Source organism: Homo sapiens, chromosome 1, assembly GCF_000001405.40.
Source record: "Homo sapiens chromosome 1, GRCh38.p14 Primary Assembly".
NCBI classification, from domain to species: domain Eukaryota; kingdom Metazoa; phylum Chordata; class Mammalia; order Primates; family Hominidae; genus Homo; species Homo sapiens.
The window spans coordinates 213,017,137-213,033,698 of NC_000001.11; positions in this window are offsets into that span (position 1 = coordinate 213,017,137).

A 16,562-nucleotide genomic window follows, 5' to 3' on the forward strand; every position below is an offset into this window, starting at 1 on the left:
TCCTAAGGGAAATACAGGATTAGGATCCTGTAAGCCTCTGGTCGCATTTTCATCAACTTAATCAATACATAGTTTTGTTGTATGTGTGTTTCCGCTTAAAGACATCTTATTTAATATATATTGTTGATTCATTAACATTGAACTCAGTCAACAGCACTATAATTCATACCTCAACAAAGCTTATCTAACACTGCTATTTTCTCTGCAAGGCTCATGACAGCCTTCTTGTGCTTAGGAGCACTATACAGCACAACGCTTGGGGACCATTTTAAACAGCAACATCAACAAAAAGTACAAAAACGTGAAAAACATATCACTAAATGGAATGTGAAAAGGACACTTGGTCCTGATGGCTCACGCCTGTAATCCCAGCAATATGGGAGGCCAAGGCGGCTGGATCGCTTCAGCCAGGGAGTTCAAGACCACACTGGACAACATGGCGAAACCCCGTCCCTACAAAAAATACAAAAATTAGCCGGGCATGGTGGCTCTCGTCTGTAGTCCCAGCTACTCCAGAATTTGAGGTGAAAGGATTACTTTAGCCCGAGAGGGCGAGGCTGCAGTGAACCAAGATAGTGTCACTGTACTCCAGCCCTGGCAACAAGGGGACACTATGGTATAGCATGAGAGCTGAAACAAAAAGGCAGAGAATGCCTTGTTTAGCCTCAGCTGGGAATGTGCACTTTGGGCAATTAAAAATTTTCCCTGCTCTGTACATGTCCAAGAATACATGGAGGTTACAGATCAATTTTAGCAAGTAGGCAAATTTGCAAATATGGAATCCACAAATAATGGAGAAAGACTGTATTTCTGTTTTATACTGCCCTATTTTCTAGTTGTACTCACAATTTTGTAGTTCATTAAATTGACTAGTAGTTTACTGTATGTCTTGTCTTTATAATGAGATTGTAAATAACTTCTGAGGAAAGACCATGACTCATTATTTCCAAAATTTACTTGACCTAGTGCTGTGCTAAGTACACAATATATAGTAGTAAAAATATTTTTGAATGAATGGTTAACAGTGGGCCAGAACTTGGGACTTGTGAATGACCAGAAGCTTTTTCCTTTAGCACACCCTAAGAGGTAAGGAGAAATGTAACATTTTTAAATAAGTAAAAGAAATTAATAGATATCTTTTCATGCAGTGTTGGAATTTGGGGGTTTATCTGATCCTAAAAGATATTTGCCTTTATCTGGGCCTAGACTATTGCAAAGATTAAAGTTAACTTGCAGGGCGCTTGTGGCAGTGCAAATGATTTTTGTCTATGGACTTGTAAAATAATTCTACCTAGTTGGGGGGAGAACTCTCCATCTCTATGGAAAAGCCAGTTTTGGCTGCCTGCAGTGGCTCACACCTGTAATCCTAGCACTTTGAAAGGCTGAGGCGGGAGGATCACGAGGTCAGAAGTTCGAGACCAGCCTGACCAACATGGTGAAATCCGTTCTCTACTAAAAATACAAAAATTAGCAGGTGTGGTGGCATGCCTGTAATCTCAGCTACTCAGGAGGCTGAGGCAGGAGAATCGCTTGAACCTGGGAGATGGAGGTTGTAGTGAGCCGAGATCGCGCCACTGCACTCCAGCCTGGGCGACACAGCGAGACTCCATCGCAAATAATAATAATAATAATAATAATAATAATAATAAATTAAACAACAACAACAACAAAAAAGCCAGTTTTGCACCATTTGCAAGATCAATATTTCTGATCTATAAACATGTCTGCTCTTTGGATTCTCCTTTGAACAGGTGATAACATCTGTCTGGTTCACCTATGTAATGAGTTAAATAAAATGGCTGGGTGCAGGGGCTCACGCCTGTAATCCCAGCACTTTGGAAGGCCAAGGCAGGCGGATCACTTGAGGTTAGGAGTTCAAGACTAGCCTGGCCAACATGGTGAAACCCCGTCTCTACTAAAAATAGACAAAAATTAGCTGGGTGTGGTGGCTCATGCCTGTAATCCCAGCTACTTGGGAGACTGAGGCATGAGAATCGCTTAAATCCAGAAGGCGGAAGTTGCAGTGAGTCAAGATCGCACCACTGCACTCCACCTTGGGTGACAGAGTGAGACTCCGTTTCAAAATAAATAAAATAAAATGACTAATGTGTTCGTATTATATCTGTTTGAGAGTCATGATTTTACCTTTTTTTTTTTTTTTGGAAAATTATCTTTTAAAAGTTCAGTAGTTCCCACCAAGATGCCCAATGTATTCATCTGACAGAGGCAGGTGAATTTTATCACTGTAAAAGTACACTTCATGGATTGCCTGAGTTCTGGCAATTTTCTTGCTCCCAGAGATAAATCTAAAATGGCAAAAGCATGTTGCTGAGTCTTTGTTTTTCTAATTTTTATTTTCTTCTCCAGTAATTGTGTGTTTTTCTTTGGTTTGTAGAAGCATATCTTGTGTTATTGTGCTTCACTTTATTATGCTTCACAGATACTCTGTTTTTTGCAAATTGAAGATTTGTGGCAACCCTCCCTTTTGCAATTCTATTGATAACGATTTTTCCAACAGCATGTGCTCACTTTCTTTCTCTGTATAACATTTTGGTTATTCTCGCATATTTCAAACATTTTCATCATTCTTATATCTATTATGGTGATCTGTGATCAGCGGTCGTTGATGTTACTATTGTAATTGTTTTGGGGCACCACAAACTGCACCCATTCAAGATGGCAAACTTAACAAATGTGTGTGTTCTGACTGCTCTGCTGACTGACCAACCATTCCCTGTCTCTCTCCCTCTCCTCAGGCCTCCATGTCCCCTACACAATATTGAAATTAGGCCAATTAATAACCCTACGATGGTGCCTAAGTGTTCAAGTGAAAGGAAGAGTTACAGATCTTTAAATCAAAAGCTAGAAATTATTAAGCTTAATGAAGGGATGACAAAAGCTGAGATAGGCCCAAAGACAGGCATCTTGCACCAAACAGTTAACCAAATTGTGAATGCAAAGGAAAAGTTCTTGAAGGAAATTAAAAATGCTACTCCAGTGTATGAAGGCATGATAAGAAAGCAAAACAGCCTTATTGCTGATATGGAGAAAATCTGAGTGGTCTATATAGAAGATCAAACCAGCTACAACATTCCCTTAAATCAAAGCCTTGTCCGGCGTAAGGCCCTAACTCTCTTCAATTCTATGAAGGCTGAGAGAAGTGAGGATGCTGCAGAAGACAAGTTGGAAGTTAGCAGAAGTTGCTTCATGAGGTTTAAGGAAAGAAGCTGTCTCCATAACATAAAAGTGCATGCGGAAGCAGAAAGTACTGTTGGAGAAGCTGCGGCAAGTTATCTAGAAGATGCAGCTTTGATTACTGATGAAGGTGGTTATAATACACAACCGATTTTCTGTGCAGATGAAACAGCCTCTGTTGGAAGAAGATGCCATCTAGGACTTTCATAGCTAGAAAGAAGTCAATACCTGGCTTCAACACTTCAAAGGACAGGCTGAGTCTCTTGTTAGCAGCTAATGGAGCTGGTGGCTTTTAGTAGAAGCCAATGCTCATTGATCATTCTGAAAATCCTAGGACCCTTAAGAATTCTGTTAAATCTACTCTGCCTGTCCTCTATCAATGGAAGACAAAGCCTGGACAACAGCACATCAGTTTATACCATGGTCTACTGAATATTTTAAGCACACTTTTGTGCTTAGAAAAAAAGACTCTTTTCAAAACGTTATGCTCATTAACAATACACCTGGTCACCCAAGAGCTCTCAGTTGAATGTTATTTTATCCCTGCTAACACAACATCCATTCTACAGCCCATGGGATCAGGGAATAATTTTGACTTTCAAGTCCCCTCATTTAAGAAATACATTTTCTAAGGTTATAGCTGCCACAGAAGGATCTGGGGAAAGTAAATTAAAAACCTTCTAGAAAGGAGTCACCATCTTTGATGCAAATCTTCTGGAAAAGATTTGCCATGTTAGATGCCTTTCAGAACATTTTGATTCATGGAAGGAGGTCAAAATTTCCACATTAACAGGAGCTTGAGAGAAGTTGATTCCAGCCCTCATGGTTGGCTTTGAGGGGTTCAAGACTTCAGTGGGGGTAGTAACAACAGATGTAGTAGAAATAGCAAGAGAACTAGAATTAGAGCTTGAAGAGGTGATTGGATTGCTACAATCGCATGATAAAACTTGAACAAATGAGGAGTTGCTTCTTTCGGATGAGCAAAGAAAGTGGTTTCCTAAAATAGAATCTACTCCTGGTATAGATGCTCTGAACATTGTTGAAATGACAACAATGGGTTTAGAATATTATATAAACTTTGTTGATAAAGTGGAATGAGTATTTCAGAGAATTGACTCCAATTTTGAAAGACATTTTCTACTGTGTATAAAATGCTATCAAACAGCATCACATGTACAGAGACATCTTTCATGAACGGAGGAGTCAATCTATGCAGCAAAGTTCATTTTTTTCTAAGAAATTTCCACAACCATCCCAACCTTCAGCAACCACAAATCTGATAAGTCAGTAGCCATTAACATAAAGGCAAGACCCTCCACCAGCAAAAAATATTATGGCTTGCTAAAGGTTTAGTTGATTGTTTGCAATTTTTAGCAGGAAAGTACTTTTTAATTAAGATACATACTTTAGGCCGGGCGCAGTGGTTCACACCTGTGATCCCAGCACTTTGGGAGGCCAAGGCGAGTGGATCACTTGAGGTAAGGAGTTCCAAACCAGCTTGACCAATATGATGAAACCCTGTCTCTACTAAAAATACAAAAATTAGCGGGTGTGGTGGTATGCGCTTGTAATCCCAGCCACCCGGGAGGCTGAGACAGGAGAATCGCTTGAACTTGGGAGGCAAAAGTTGCAGTGAGCCCAGATCGCGGCATTGCACTCCAGCCTAGGCAACAAGAGTGAAACTCAGTCTCAAAAGAAAAAAAAAAAAAGATACATACTTTGTTTTTAGACATGATGTTATTGCACACTGAATAGACTACAATATAGTGTGAACATAATAACTTTTATATGCACTTGGAAACCAAAAAATTTGCATGACTTACTTTATTGCAATATTTGGTTTATTGCAGTGGTCTGGAACCAAACCCACAATATCTTTGAGATGTGCCTGTACATGGCCAATAAGTTATTTCCCTCTGTTGGAAGCAATGATTAAGAGTTTGGTTACATGGTCTAACCATTTGGTGATCTCTATAAAAGGACTAGTGGTTTACAGAGATATAATTTCTGTTGAGTGAGAGACAACAGAAAACCTTGTATGTTCTTTTTATTTATTTGTCTATTTGCCTATTTTGAGTTCAACTCAAGAATTTTGTGCCCGTTGGAAGGAGAACGCTCATTTATATCTGGACTGGTGAGTTTTTGTATTCCTGTGTTTACTCTTGACCCATGGTTGAAATGGTAGAATTGAAGCCATAAATTCTCCATATATCTGTGTGTCTGTAATTTATAAACGTCTTTATACCTCACTATGTGAGTATAAGATATTGTCCTGCCTCTGTAAGGTATTATGAATTAAAATCTAGTTTATTTTTATCAAAGGATCTCTGCTCTGATTGGCTTATAGAGATAAATAAGCACTTACATAAATTTAATTCCTAAAATTACCTGAAAATAAGTAAATCAAGACATTCCAAATGTAATATACTTTAAAGAAAAATAGACGGCTGGGCACGGTGGCTCACACCTCTAATCCCAACACTTTGGGAGGCCGAGGTAGGCGGATCACAAGGTCAGGAGATCAAGACCATCCTGGCTAAGATGGTGAAACCCCGTCTCTACTAAAAATGCAAAAAACTAGCCAGGCATGGTGGCTCGTGCCTGTGGTCCAGCTACTCAGGAGGCTGAGGCAAGATCATTGCTTGAACCTGGGAGATGGAGGTTGCAGTGAGCCAAGATTGTGCCACTGCACTCCAGCCTGGGTGGGAGAGTGAGACTCCATCTCAAAAAAAAAAAAAAAAAAAAAGAAAGAAAGAAAAAATATATATATAGAAACTAACTCAGAAATATTTTAAGAATTCAAGCTTACATCATTAAGGTCAATCTGTAGTGAAAGGTGATTTCTTTTTTTGAAGTAGTTTAATGTTAATAAGAATTGGGTAGGGAGGAACATTGATTGATTTTTAGAATACCATCCAACCATAATTGCATACCTAGTCAGGGATTGAGACAATGAAGAAGGGTGGGCAAAAAAACCTCAGAGACCAAGGTCTCTGCTAAAGAGAAGCCAAGTATTTTGGACAGGCACACGGAGATTCATATACTATGGATGAAATTCAGGAACTTGAATTGGCTGGGGTGTGGGTAGCCAATATGGCAAAAGTATGAGTTAAACCTCACCCAGAAGGACTGAGGTTTGAAAGAAAATGGAAGTACTTCAGAACTCACATTTCTATGAAATGGAGAGAGCTTGGACACTCACTGGGAGTTGTTCTCCCTGGCAAAAACTAAAGTAGGTAAAACTGTCCTCTCTTCTACTGGTATTGCCAGATCTGATTACAGAAAAGAGAGGAGGATTGAGAGGTACAGTGTAATGAAGTCAGTGTGTCTCCTGTCCTGAGGAATAAGTCACTAGTGGAGGTACTTTCAGAGTGTGACCAAGATACAGGGAATCTCATTAAGGACTGTACAACTAGAAATTGAGAAGGCTAGAGCTACTGAAATGTGACAGAGGAAGAAACTCAGCATATGAATTTTCAGCAAATAGCAGAGACCCTTAGAATTATCTGAAAATTGATTGTTTTTCAGATCCCTGAGCAGGAGAGTGACCATTTCAGCTATCTGGTCTAGAATATCCAGATTGGCTCAGAAGACAAGGCAGAGCCAGGGTTATGATGGAGGAAAAATCCAGAACAGACTAGAAAAGAAACATTTTATTTTGACATGCCTATATAAGGCCTTCATTAGTTTCTAGAGGGCAAGAGTCACAAGTTAATATTAATAGCACAACAAGAGGCTGGGTACAGTGCCTCATGCCTATAATCCCAGCACTTTGGGAGGCCAAGCGGGAGGATCCCTTGAGCCCAGGAGTTCAAGACGAGCCTGAGCAACATAGTGGGACACTGTCTTTAAAAAAATAAAAAGTAAATAAAAATTAGCTGCGCATGGTAGTGCACACCTGTGGTCCCAGCTATTCAGGAGTCTAAAGCAAGAGGGTCACTTGAGCCTGGGAGGTCGAGGCTGCAGTGAGCTATGATCATGCCACTTCACTCCAGCCTGGGTGACATAGTAAGACCCCGTCCCTGCTCTCTCTCCTCAACAGAAAAGCCATAACAAGAGCATAGCACTTTGCAATTTGTTAAATTCCAATTTAAAAAATCTTTCCAGATACTATTAAAGTTCTATCTTTATACCAGATGGATGCCAATGACATTTTCAAATTCAAAATTCATTCACTCATTCATTTATTTATTTATCTCCACACCTGGTTTAAGAGATAAAATATTACAAATACAGTTGAAGCCTTGGCATCCCATCTGCAAACCCTTTTCTCTCCATCTCCCAAGATGAAACTACCATCCTAAATTTAGTGCTTTTCATTCTCATATGTGCCATTATATATTTTTATATGTGTATTATAGACAATATATAATAATTTTATATAACATATTTTAGAACTACATATAATTTTTATATATAGTAAATATATATATAATTTTAAATATATAATAATTTTATATAACATATTTTAGAACATATTTAGAACTATGTAGATGGTATCATACTCTGTATCTTTTTCCAACTTTTCAGTCTCAACATTATGTTTTAAGATTTAACCATGCTTATACCTGCAATTCTGGTTAATTGCTTTTTCACTACTATATTCCAAATACAAATCACAATTTATTAATCCTTTATTCTGCTGATATACATTTAGTATTTCTCCTCCTTCTCATGTTCTCTATGCTGAGAACTTGATGAATTCCTTAGTTCTACTAACTTACTAATATTTTCTTTAACTGAGAAAAGTCTATACTGTGTTTTGTCTATTCAGTATTTATTTCAACTGCTATATGTTTTTTTATTTCCAAGATTTCTTTGTTGATTTTTTCTGCATCCCCTTTTTTGTTTTATTTCTGCTTGCTTTTATAATTCCTTATTCTTGGCCAAGTGCAGTGTCTCACACCTCTAATCCCAGCATTTTGGGAGGCCAAGGTGGGCAGATCACGAGGTCAGGAGTTTGAGTACAGCCTGGCCAACATAGTGAAACCCCATCTCTACTAAAGATACAAAAAATTAGCCAGCATGGTGGTGCGCACCTGTAATCCCAGCTGCTTGGGAGGCTGAGGCAGGAGAATCGCTTGAACCTGGGAGGTGGAGGTTGCAGTGAGCCAAGATCACACCACTGCACTCCAGCCTAGGTGAGAGTGCTGAGACCAGCTCGGTCGGGGAGACCCTAACCCAGCGGTGCTAGAGGAATTAAAGACACACACACAGAAATATAGAGGTGTGAAGTGGGAAATCAGGGGTCTCACGGCCTTCAGAGCTGAGAGCCCTGAACAGAGATTTACCCACATATTTATTAACAGCAAACCAGTCATTAGCATTATTTCTATAGATATTAAATTAACTAAAAGTATCCCTTATGGGAAACGAAGGGATGGGCTGAATTAAAGGAATAGGTTGGGCTAGTTAACTGCAGCAGGAGCATGTCCTTAAGGCACAGATCGCTCATGCTATTGTTTGTGGCTTAAGAATGCCTTTAAGCAGTTTTCCACCCTGGGTGGGCCAGGTGTTCCTTGCCCTCATTCCCGTAAACCCACAACCTTCCAGCATGGGCGTTAGGGCCATTATGAACATGTTACAGTGCTGCAGAGATTTTGTTTATAGCCAGTTTTGGGGCCGGTTTATGGCCAGATTTTGGGGGGCTTGCTCCCAACATGTCCCCCTTCTCTGATTTCCAAAGCGATAAAAGCAAAGGCAGCTTTGTCACGGTGAGCTACTTCTTGCAGGAGTCAGGATTCACATCTGCAGACTATACAAAGACAAACAACACAAATCAAAAGCACAATCATCATTGAAATCACAGAGCTTCCAAGTGTTTTTATCCATTTCCTTTAAGCACTCCAGTTCCTGGCATTAAGGTCAGGTGTGCCTGGGATGCTTTAAATATTTGTTCTTTAATTTTGCTATATCCAAAAACAAGTTTGTAGAGTGTCCTTCTAGATGCTTTTTTATTCTTTCCCAAATTTTGATCTTATTAAGAGTTATTAATAGTTTCCACAAATCCTTGTGTTTAGCTCCCAGAGCAGGCTGTATCATGAAGTTGAGGTGCCACTATACTGCCATGGTTCCAGATAATAGGAACTCTTGCCATACTTCTTATATCTACCATCTGATCATTTTGTTCAGATCAGCTGAACATAGTGTGGCCATGGCACGCAGACTGAGAGGTGCAATTTAAGCTAAACATCCCCTTAGGGGACCAATTAATAATGATTCCATAGGAATCGTTGTGCAGCACCTCTGCCTGTTCTGCAAAGCAATCTTCCTAAACAAGTACGTTCATTTTTTCTAACTGGGTCCAATCCTATTTACAAAAAGGTTTTTGAGGGCAGTATGCCTCAATTATAGGAGCAGATTTATTATGGTAAATACTGAGATCAGAAAGCATGTGTAACTGTGTCATAGAGTGATTGCATCCAGGCATTATTGCCAGCCAAGATTGATAAATATGCCCAATAAGTATAATTGTTCTCTGTGTCAGCCCTTGTTGAAGGAATACTCATGGCAGTGGTGATAACCGCTATCATAGCTACCATTAAATTACTCATTGTGACTGGTTGTCCTGCTTTCCTCAGGTTTTCTTCCACCATCTGTGACAGCTTCTTGATCTGTCCCCTGGTGGGTGGCTGTGTTCAACAGGTGTTGCTCGTGACAGTTGGGGTCCTCCTCAGTGTCAGTCTCCACATGGCTGCAACCGAGGGGTCCTTGGGATCCTCCTGGAATCTCTTCCTCAGCATCTAGCTCATGATAAGGTTTCAGGTGTCTTGATGATATCCAAATCGGCTGTTGATTTTGGCCTGGAGAAACACAAGCATAACTTCTATCCCAAGTTATTATTTTACCTATTTCCCAACTTTTTGTAATCGGATCTCTCCACCAAATCAGTTGTTCTGCTTCTGTCTTTGCAGCTGGTTTCTGTAGATGCTGTTCAGCTGCTGATAACATCTGGCCTTTGGGCAGGCTCAAAAAATTTAAAGTTAATAATGTTAGATTCAGTTGCATTTGTGGGGTTCCATATCTCTGTCTCCCACTTTCTGCTTTTGCAACTGCTGTTTTAGGGAGATATTTATTCTTTCCACTATGGCTTGTCCTTGAGAATTGTATGGGATATCAGTAATGTGTTTAATATTCCACATAGAGAAAAATGTAGCTACAGCTTGGCTAGTATAGCCTGGGGCATTATCTGTTTTAATAGAAGCTGGAATGCCCATCACCGCAAAACAGTGCAAAAGATGACGTTTAACACAGGCAGAAGACTCTCCTGTTTGGCATGTAGTCCAGACAAAGTGAGAAAAGGTGTCCACACATACATGTACATAAGCTAGTCTCCCAAATGAGGGAACATGTGTGACATCCATTTGCCAAAGAGAGTTTGGTTCCAATCCTCGAGGATTAACTCCTGCTGTAAAAGATGAGGAATGTACCATTTGGCAAGTTGGGCATTGCTGGATAATAGCTTTAGCTTCTTTCCAGGTAATGCTGTATCTGCATTTGAGACCAGAGGTATTAACATGGGTTAAATTGTGAAAATGTCTAGCATTAGATATTGCATTAGCAACTAGGTGATCGGCCATTTGATTCCCTTCAGTCAAAGGTCCTGGAACAGGTGTATGAGCCCTAATGTGAGTGATGTAAAAAGGGTGCATTCTACTTCTAACTGCTCTTTGCAATTGGGTAAATAAAGTCATCAGTTGTTCATCTGTATGAAATCATATCTGAGCATTTTCAATTAACTGTGTGGAATGAACCACGTATGAAGAATGAGAAATCACATTAATAGGCATATCAAAAGCAGGCAATACCTCAATTACGGCTACAAGGTCCACTTTTTGAGCTGAAGTATAGGACATCTGGAAAACTACTTTTTGAGCCAAAATAAGAAGTTTTACCATCACTAGACCTATCTGTAAAAACATTCTCAGCACCTTCAATTGGTTTAAATTTAGTTATTTGGGGTAGAATCTAATTAGTTAATTTCAAAAACTGAAACAGCTTCGCTTTAGGAAAATGATTATCAAGAATACCTACAAAGTCAGCTAAATGGGTTTGCCAAGTAAGACTATTTATAAAAGCTTGCCTGTATTTGTGCCATCATGAGAGGGACAATAATTTTTCCAGGAGCATATCCATGTAATTTAACAATCTGAGTTGTCCCAATCCCTATCATAGTAGCGATTTGATCTAAATAAGGAGTTAGAGTCCATGAATTAGTATGTGGAAGAAAAAGCCACTCTGCTAAGTCCTGTTCTTGGACAATAGCACCAGTAGGTGAATGTTGAGTTGAAAAAATTAGGAAATCTAGAGTCTTCTCTGGATCTATTCTATTTATTTGAGCTTTATGGACTTGCTTCTCAATCAGTTGTAACTCTGCCTCAGCCTCCTTTGTTAATTGCCGAGGGCTAGTGAGACTAGGATTTCCTCTAAGGACAGAAAACAGATTACTCATGGCATAGGTAGGAATGCCTAGAGCAGGTCATATCCAATTAATACCCCCTAGCAATTTTGGAAAGTCATTTAATGTTTTTAGTTGATCCCTACATATGGTTACTTTCTGTGGCACAATGGTAGTGTCATTTACTAAGGTTCCCAAGTAGGAGTAAGGAGTAGTAGTCTGAATTTTGTCAGGAGCTATAATTAAACCAGCACAAGAAATCAAATTTTGTAAGTGATCATAACATTGGAGTAATATTTCTCGAGTAGGGGCAGCACAAACTATATCATCCATATAGTGAATAATGTAACACTGAAAATTTTTTATGAGTAAGTTCAAGTGCTTGCCCCACATATGTCTGGCAAATTGTGGGACTATTTAACATGCCCTGTGGCAACACTTTCCAGTGATAATGCTTAGCAGGCTGCAGGTTGTTTACTGCAGGAATTGTAAATGCAAACCTTTCACAGTCTTGCTCAGCTAAAGGGATAGTAAAGAAACAGTCTTTTAAATATATGATTATTAAAGGCCATTTTTTTTGGAATTAAAGCAGGAGAAGGCAATCCTGGCTGTAATGCCCCTATAGGTTGTATAACTGAATTGATAGCTCTTAAGTCAGTTAACATTCTCCATTTACCTGATTTTTTCTTAATTACGAAAACTGGAGAATTCCAAGGGGAAAATGTTGGAGCTATGTGCCCATTTTCTAATTGTTCAGTAAATAATGTCTCTAAAGCCTCCAGTTTCTCTTTACTTAGCGGTCTTTGTTCTATCCAAATTGGCTTATCTGTTAACCATTTTAAAGGTATAGGTTCTGGTGGCTTAACAATGGCCACCATCAAAAATGATATCCTAATCTTTGGCGGGAACTTTGTCTTTCCACTTGAAGCAGTTTTTTTCAAACCTTGCAAATTTTTTTCTAGTCCCATACCAGGGACATACCCCATTTCATGCATCATATGTTGACTTTGAGGGCTATATAATTGTTCTGGAATTAGAACTTGTGCTCCGCATTGTTGTAATAAATCTCTTCCCCATAAATTTATAGGTACAGAAGTTATAATTGGTTGAATAGTCCCAGGTTGTCCATCGGGTCCTTCACAATGCAAAATATAACTACTTCGATATACTTTGGGGCTTTACCAGTTCCAACTATGTTAAATTGAGAGGGCTGAATTGGCCACATGGGCGGCCAGTGCTGTAGAGAAATGACTGAAATGTCCGCTCCTGTATCTACCAAACCTTTAAATTTCTCTCCCTGAATAGTTATTTCACAGGTAGGGCATTTATTAGTAATTTGATTTACCCAATACACTGCTTTGCCTTGTTTATTTGTGCTTCCAAATCCTCCTGTTCGTTTAATTTCACTTTTTCCCATTCCCACATATGGCACAATCAGGAGCTGTGCTATACGCCCTCCTGGCTCTGCTTTCCAGGGAACAGAAGTAGATATAACAATTTGAATTTCCCCATTGTAATCTGAATCAATGACTCCTGTATGTATTTGCACCCCTTTTAAACCTAAACTAGACCTTCCTAAAGGTAATCCTATTGTCCCTGCTGGCAAGGGTCCACAGACTCCTGTTGGGACCTTTTGCAGGGGTTCCCCAGGCAGAAGGCTCACAGCTTTTGTGCAGCATAAATCTACTGTGGCACTACTGGCTGTGGCAGGGGATAGACATTGTACGGGGGTGAGAGAATGGCCTGAGCTGGAAATGTCCCGGTTTAGAATGGGACCCAGGATGGGCCCCTCGTGGCATTTCCCAAAATCGGGTTCTCTTCTTTATCAAACTTAGAGTGACACTGATTAGCCCAATGTTTTCCTTTTTTACATTTTGGACATATTTCAGGATCAGCAGTTTTCTTTTTTCCCCTGTCTGGCGGCCTGACTTGCTGATTTTTTTCTACATTTTTGTTTAGTATGACCATGCTTCCCACAGTTAAAACAAGCTCCAGGGAATGGAGTATTTCCTTTATCCACTCTCAGTCCTGCCATTGCCTGTGTTAGCAGAGTAGCTGTATGCAGATTACTTTCGATACCATCACCTTTCCCTCTGATAGGTCGCAGAGCAGCCTGGCAATCGGGATTAGCATTGTCAAAAGCCAATAACTGCAACACTATATCCTGAGCAGCCGAATCTGCAATCATCTTTTTAAGAGACTCCTGTAACGGAGCTATAAAATCAACGTATGGTTCTCTTGGTCCCTGTTTTACAGCACTAAAGGAAGGGTATTTTTCTCCACCTGAAGTGATTTTTTTCCCAAGCTCTAATGCACACTGCACTAAGCTGTTCTATGGCATCATCCTGCATGACCAGTTGTGCATGTAAACCAGCCCAGCTGCCAACCCCCAAAAGTTGGTCTGCAGTTATATTAATTTGAGGTTGGGCCTGGGCATTTTGAGCAGCCTGAATGGAAGCTTCATCTGCTCACCAAGTTTTAAATTATAAGAACTGAGCAGGAGTTAGACAAGCTCAAGTAAGAGCATCGCAGTCAGTAGGTATCATTTGACTGGAAACAGCAACATTCTTTAACAGTCCCATTACAAAAGGAGAACCTGGTCCATACTGATTTATAGCTTGTTTAAATTCTTTGAGTAATTTAAAAGGAAAAGGCTCAAATGTAGCTGTAATATTTCCCTGTTGACCTGGTGGGTGTATTCTAACAGGGAACTGCCAAGCCTCTTTATCACCCTCTCGTCTAGCTTGCTGAATTCCTGCCTGAATAGAACTAAGAGTGGTCGCTCGAGGCACTGCTTGAACAGTCACTGGGGCAACTACTTTTTGCTGTGTCCTCCAGAAAAGAAAGATCTGGAGGGTCTTTTTCTTCAAAATAATAAGGAGGGGGTGCAGAAGGGTAGGGATGAACCTCTCCTTCCTTTGCCACTTTAGCTTTAGCTGGTAAATAAACATGCTCTGTAACCTCTTCTGTTGTTTCATTATACTCGCGTTTGTCCTCATCATCAGTGTGAAAAAGTTCCAAGGTGGAATGAACCAGACCCCATACCTGTCCCATTGTTACCCTGACGCTTCCGAGCTCCCCTTCTTACTCACCATGGGGATTGCTTTAAGAGTATTTACTTGTCCTCCAGCTAGTTTTCCATTCCAACCATTGCTCCAGTGAGCCTTCAACCTGGATTCGAGCCCCCACAATGGATGCCACTTGCCGAGACCAGCTCGGTTGGGGAGACCCTAACCCAAGAGTGCTAGAGGAATTAAAGACACACACATAAATATAGAGGTGTGAAGTGGGAAATCGGGGTCTCACAGCCTTCAGAGCTGAGAGCCCCGAACAGAGATTTACCCACATATTTATTAACAGCAAACCAGTCATTGGCATTTTTTCTATAGATATTAAATTAACTAAAAGTATCCCTTATGGGAAACGAAGGGATGGGCTGAAGTAAAGGAATAGGTTGGACTAGTTAACTGCGGCAGGAGCATGTCCTTAAGGCACAGATCGCTCATGCTATTGTTTGCGGCTTAAGAATGCCCTTAAGTGGTTTTCTGCCCTGGGCAGGCCAGATGTTCCTTGCCCTCACTCCCGTAAACCCACAACCTTCCAGCGTGGGTGTTAGGGCCATTATGAACATATTACAGTGCTGCAGAGATTTTGTTTATAGCCAGTTTTGGGGCCGGTTTATGGCCAGATTTTGGGGGGCTTGCTCCCAACATGAGAGAGCGAGACTCTGTCTCAAAAAAAAAAATTATTATTATTTTTTTCTTTTACCTCTCTCAAACGATACTAATCACACTTGTTTAAAGCTCATTTTCTGATTATTCTGTTATGTTTATTTTGTCCGGAGTAAATTTATCTTCCCTATTTTGATTTTGCTGGTGGCTGTTCTAGTGTGAATTTCTTCATGTGTTTTGGAATTTTCATGTGCAAACCTCCTGATTAAGAGATTTTTATTTTTTCTCTCTGTTGACCCTGTTTGTCTTAATTGCCTCCATTCCCCCTCAAGGGAATCCTTGACCAGAATCAGGTTTTATATTTGTGGCTTGGGTCTGTCTAGCTATGCTATCAGAGATGTTACATTTCTAATCTGTGAGCTAGTGGATAGCTTGGCCCAGGTCCTGGATGTGAAGCTGTATCCCTTTTCTTCTGCCTCCCTAGGCCATGGCTATGGAAGTAGTCACTGCAGCACCTTTCAGCCTTTCTTTATGGGTAAAGTGGCCCTTAGTTTCAGCAGTGAGCCTGAATCCATCCCTTCTCTTTCTTGGGAGGACTTTTAGTTCCTGTTAACCTTCAGTAGCAAAATTCCTAGATAGGAGGCCCAGCATGTCTCAGCTTTGGTGTTTCTGGGCCTCAAATTTTGAGCATGATGGTGTTTTCCAGTTCTGTTTTGTTATGATTTCTCTTTTTATATTTTATCTCTCACTGCCATGTGTTTTGAGCAGAGAATGTCTTCAATGCAAGAGCTTAAATAGTATCTTCACTAGAAGTACAAATATACAGTATTATGTAATATTCAGAAAAAATATCTTTATAAGCTGAAAGTCTGTTCCTCAAGAATTATTGAGATGTAGTGTAGCACAGTAAAATGGGAAAACTTTTTTTTTTCTTTTTTGAGACAGAGTCTCAAAGCTGGAGTGCCAGTGGTGGGATCTCAGCTCACTGCAGCCTTAACCTTTTAGGCTAAAGTGTTCTTCCTGTTTCAACCTCCCAAGTAGCTGAGCACCACCATGCTTGGCTAATTTTCTATTTTTTGTAGAGACAGTGTCTTGCTATATTGCCCAGGCTGGTCTTGAACTCCTGGGCTCATGCCTTCCACCTCAACCTCCTAAAGTGCTGGGATTACAGGTGTGAGCCACTGCAGCTGGCTGGAAGACGCTTGAATCAAATAGACATGGGTTTTAACACATACCCTGACACTTCTCAGTTGTGGCATTGGGCAAACATATCACCTCTTTGGTCACAGTTATCTGCA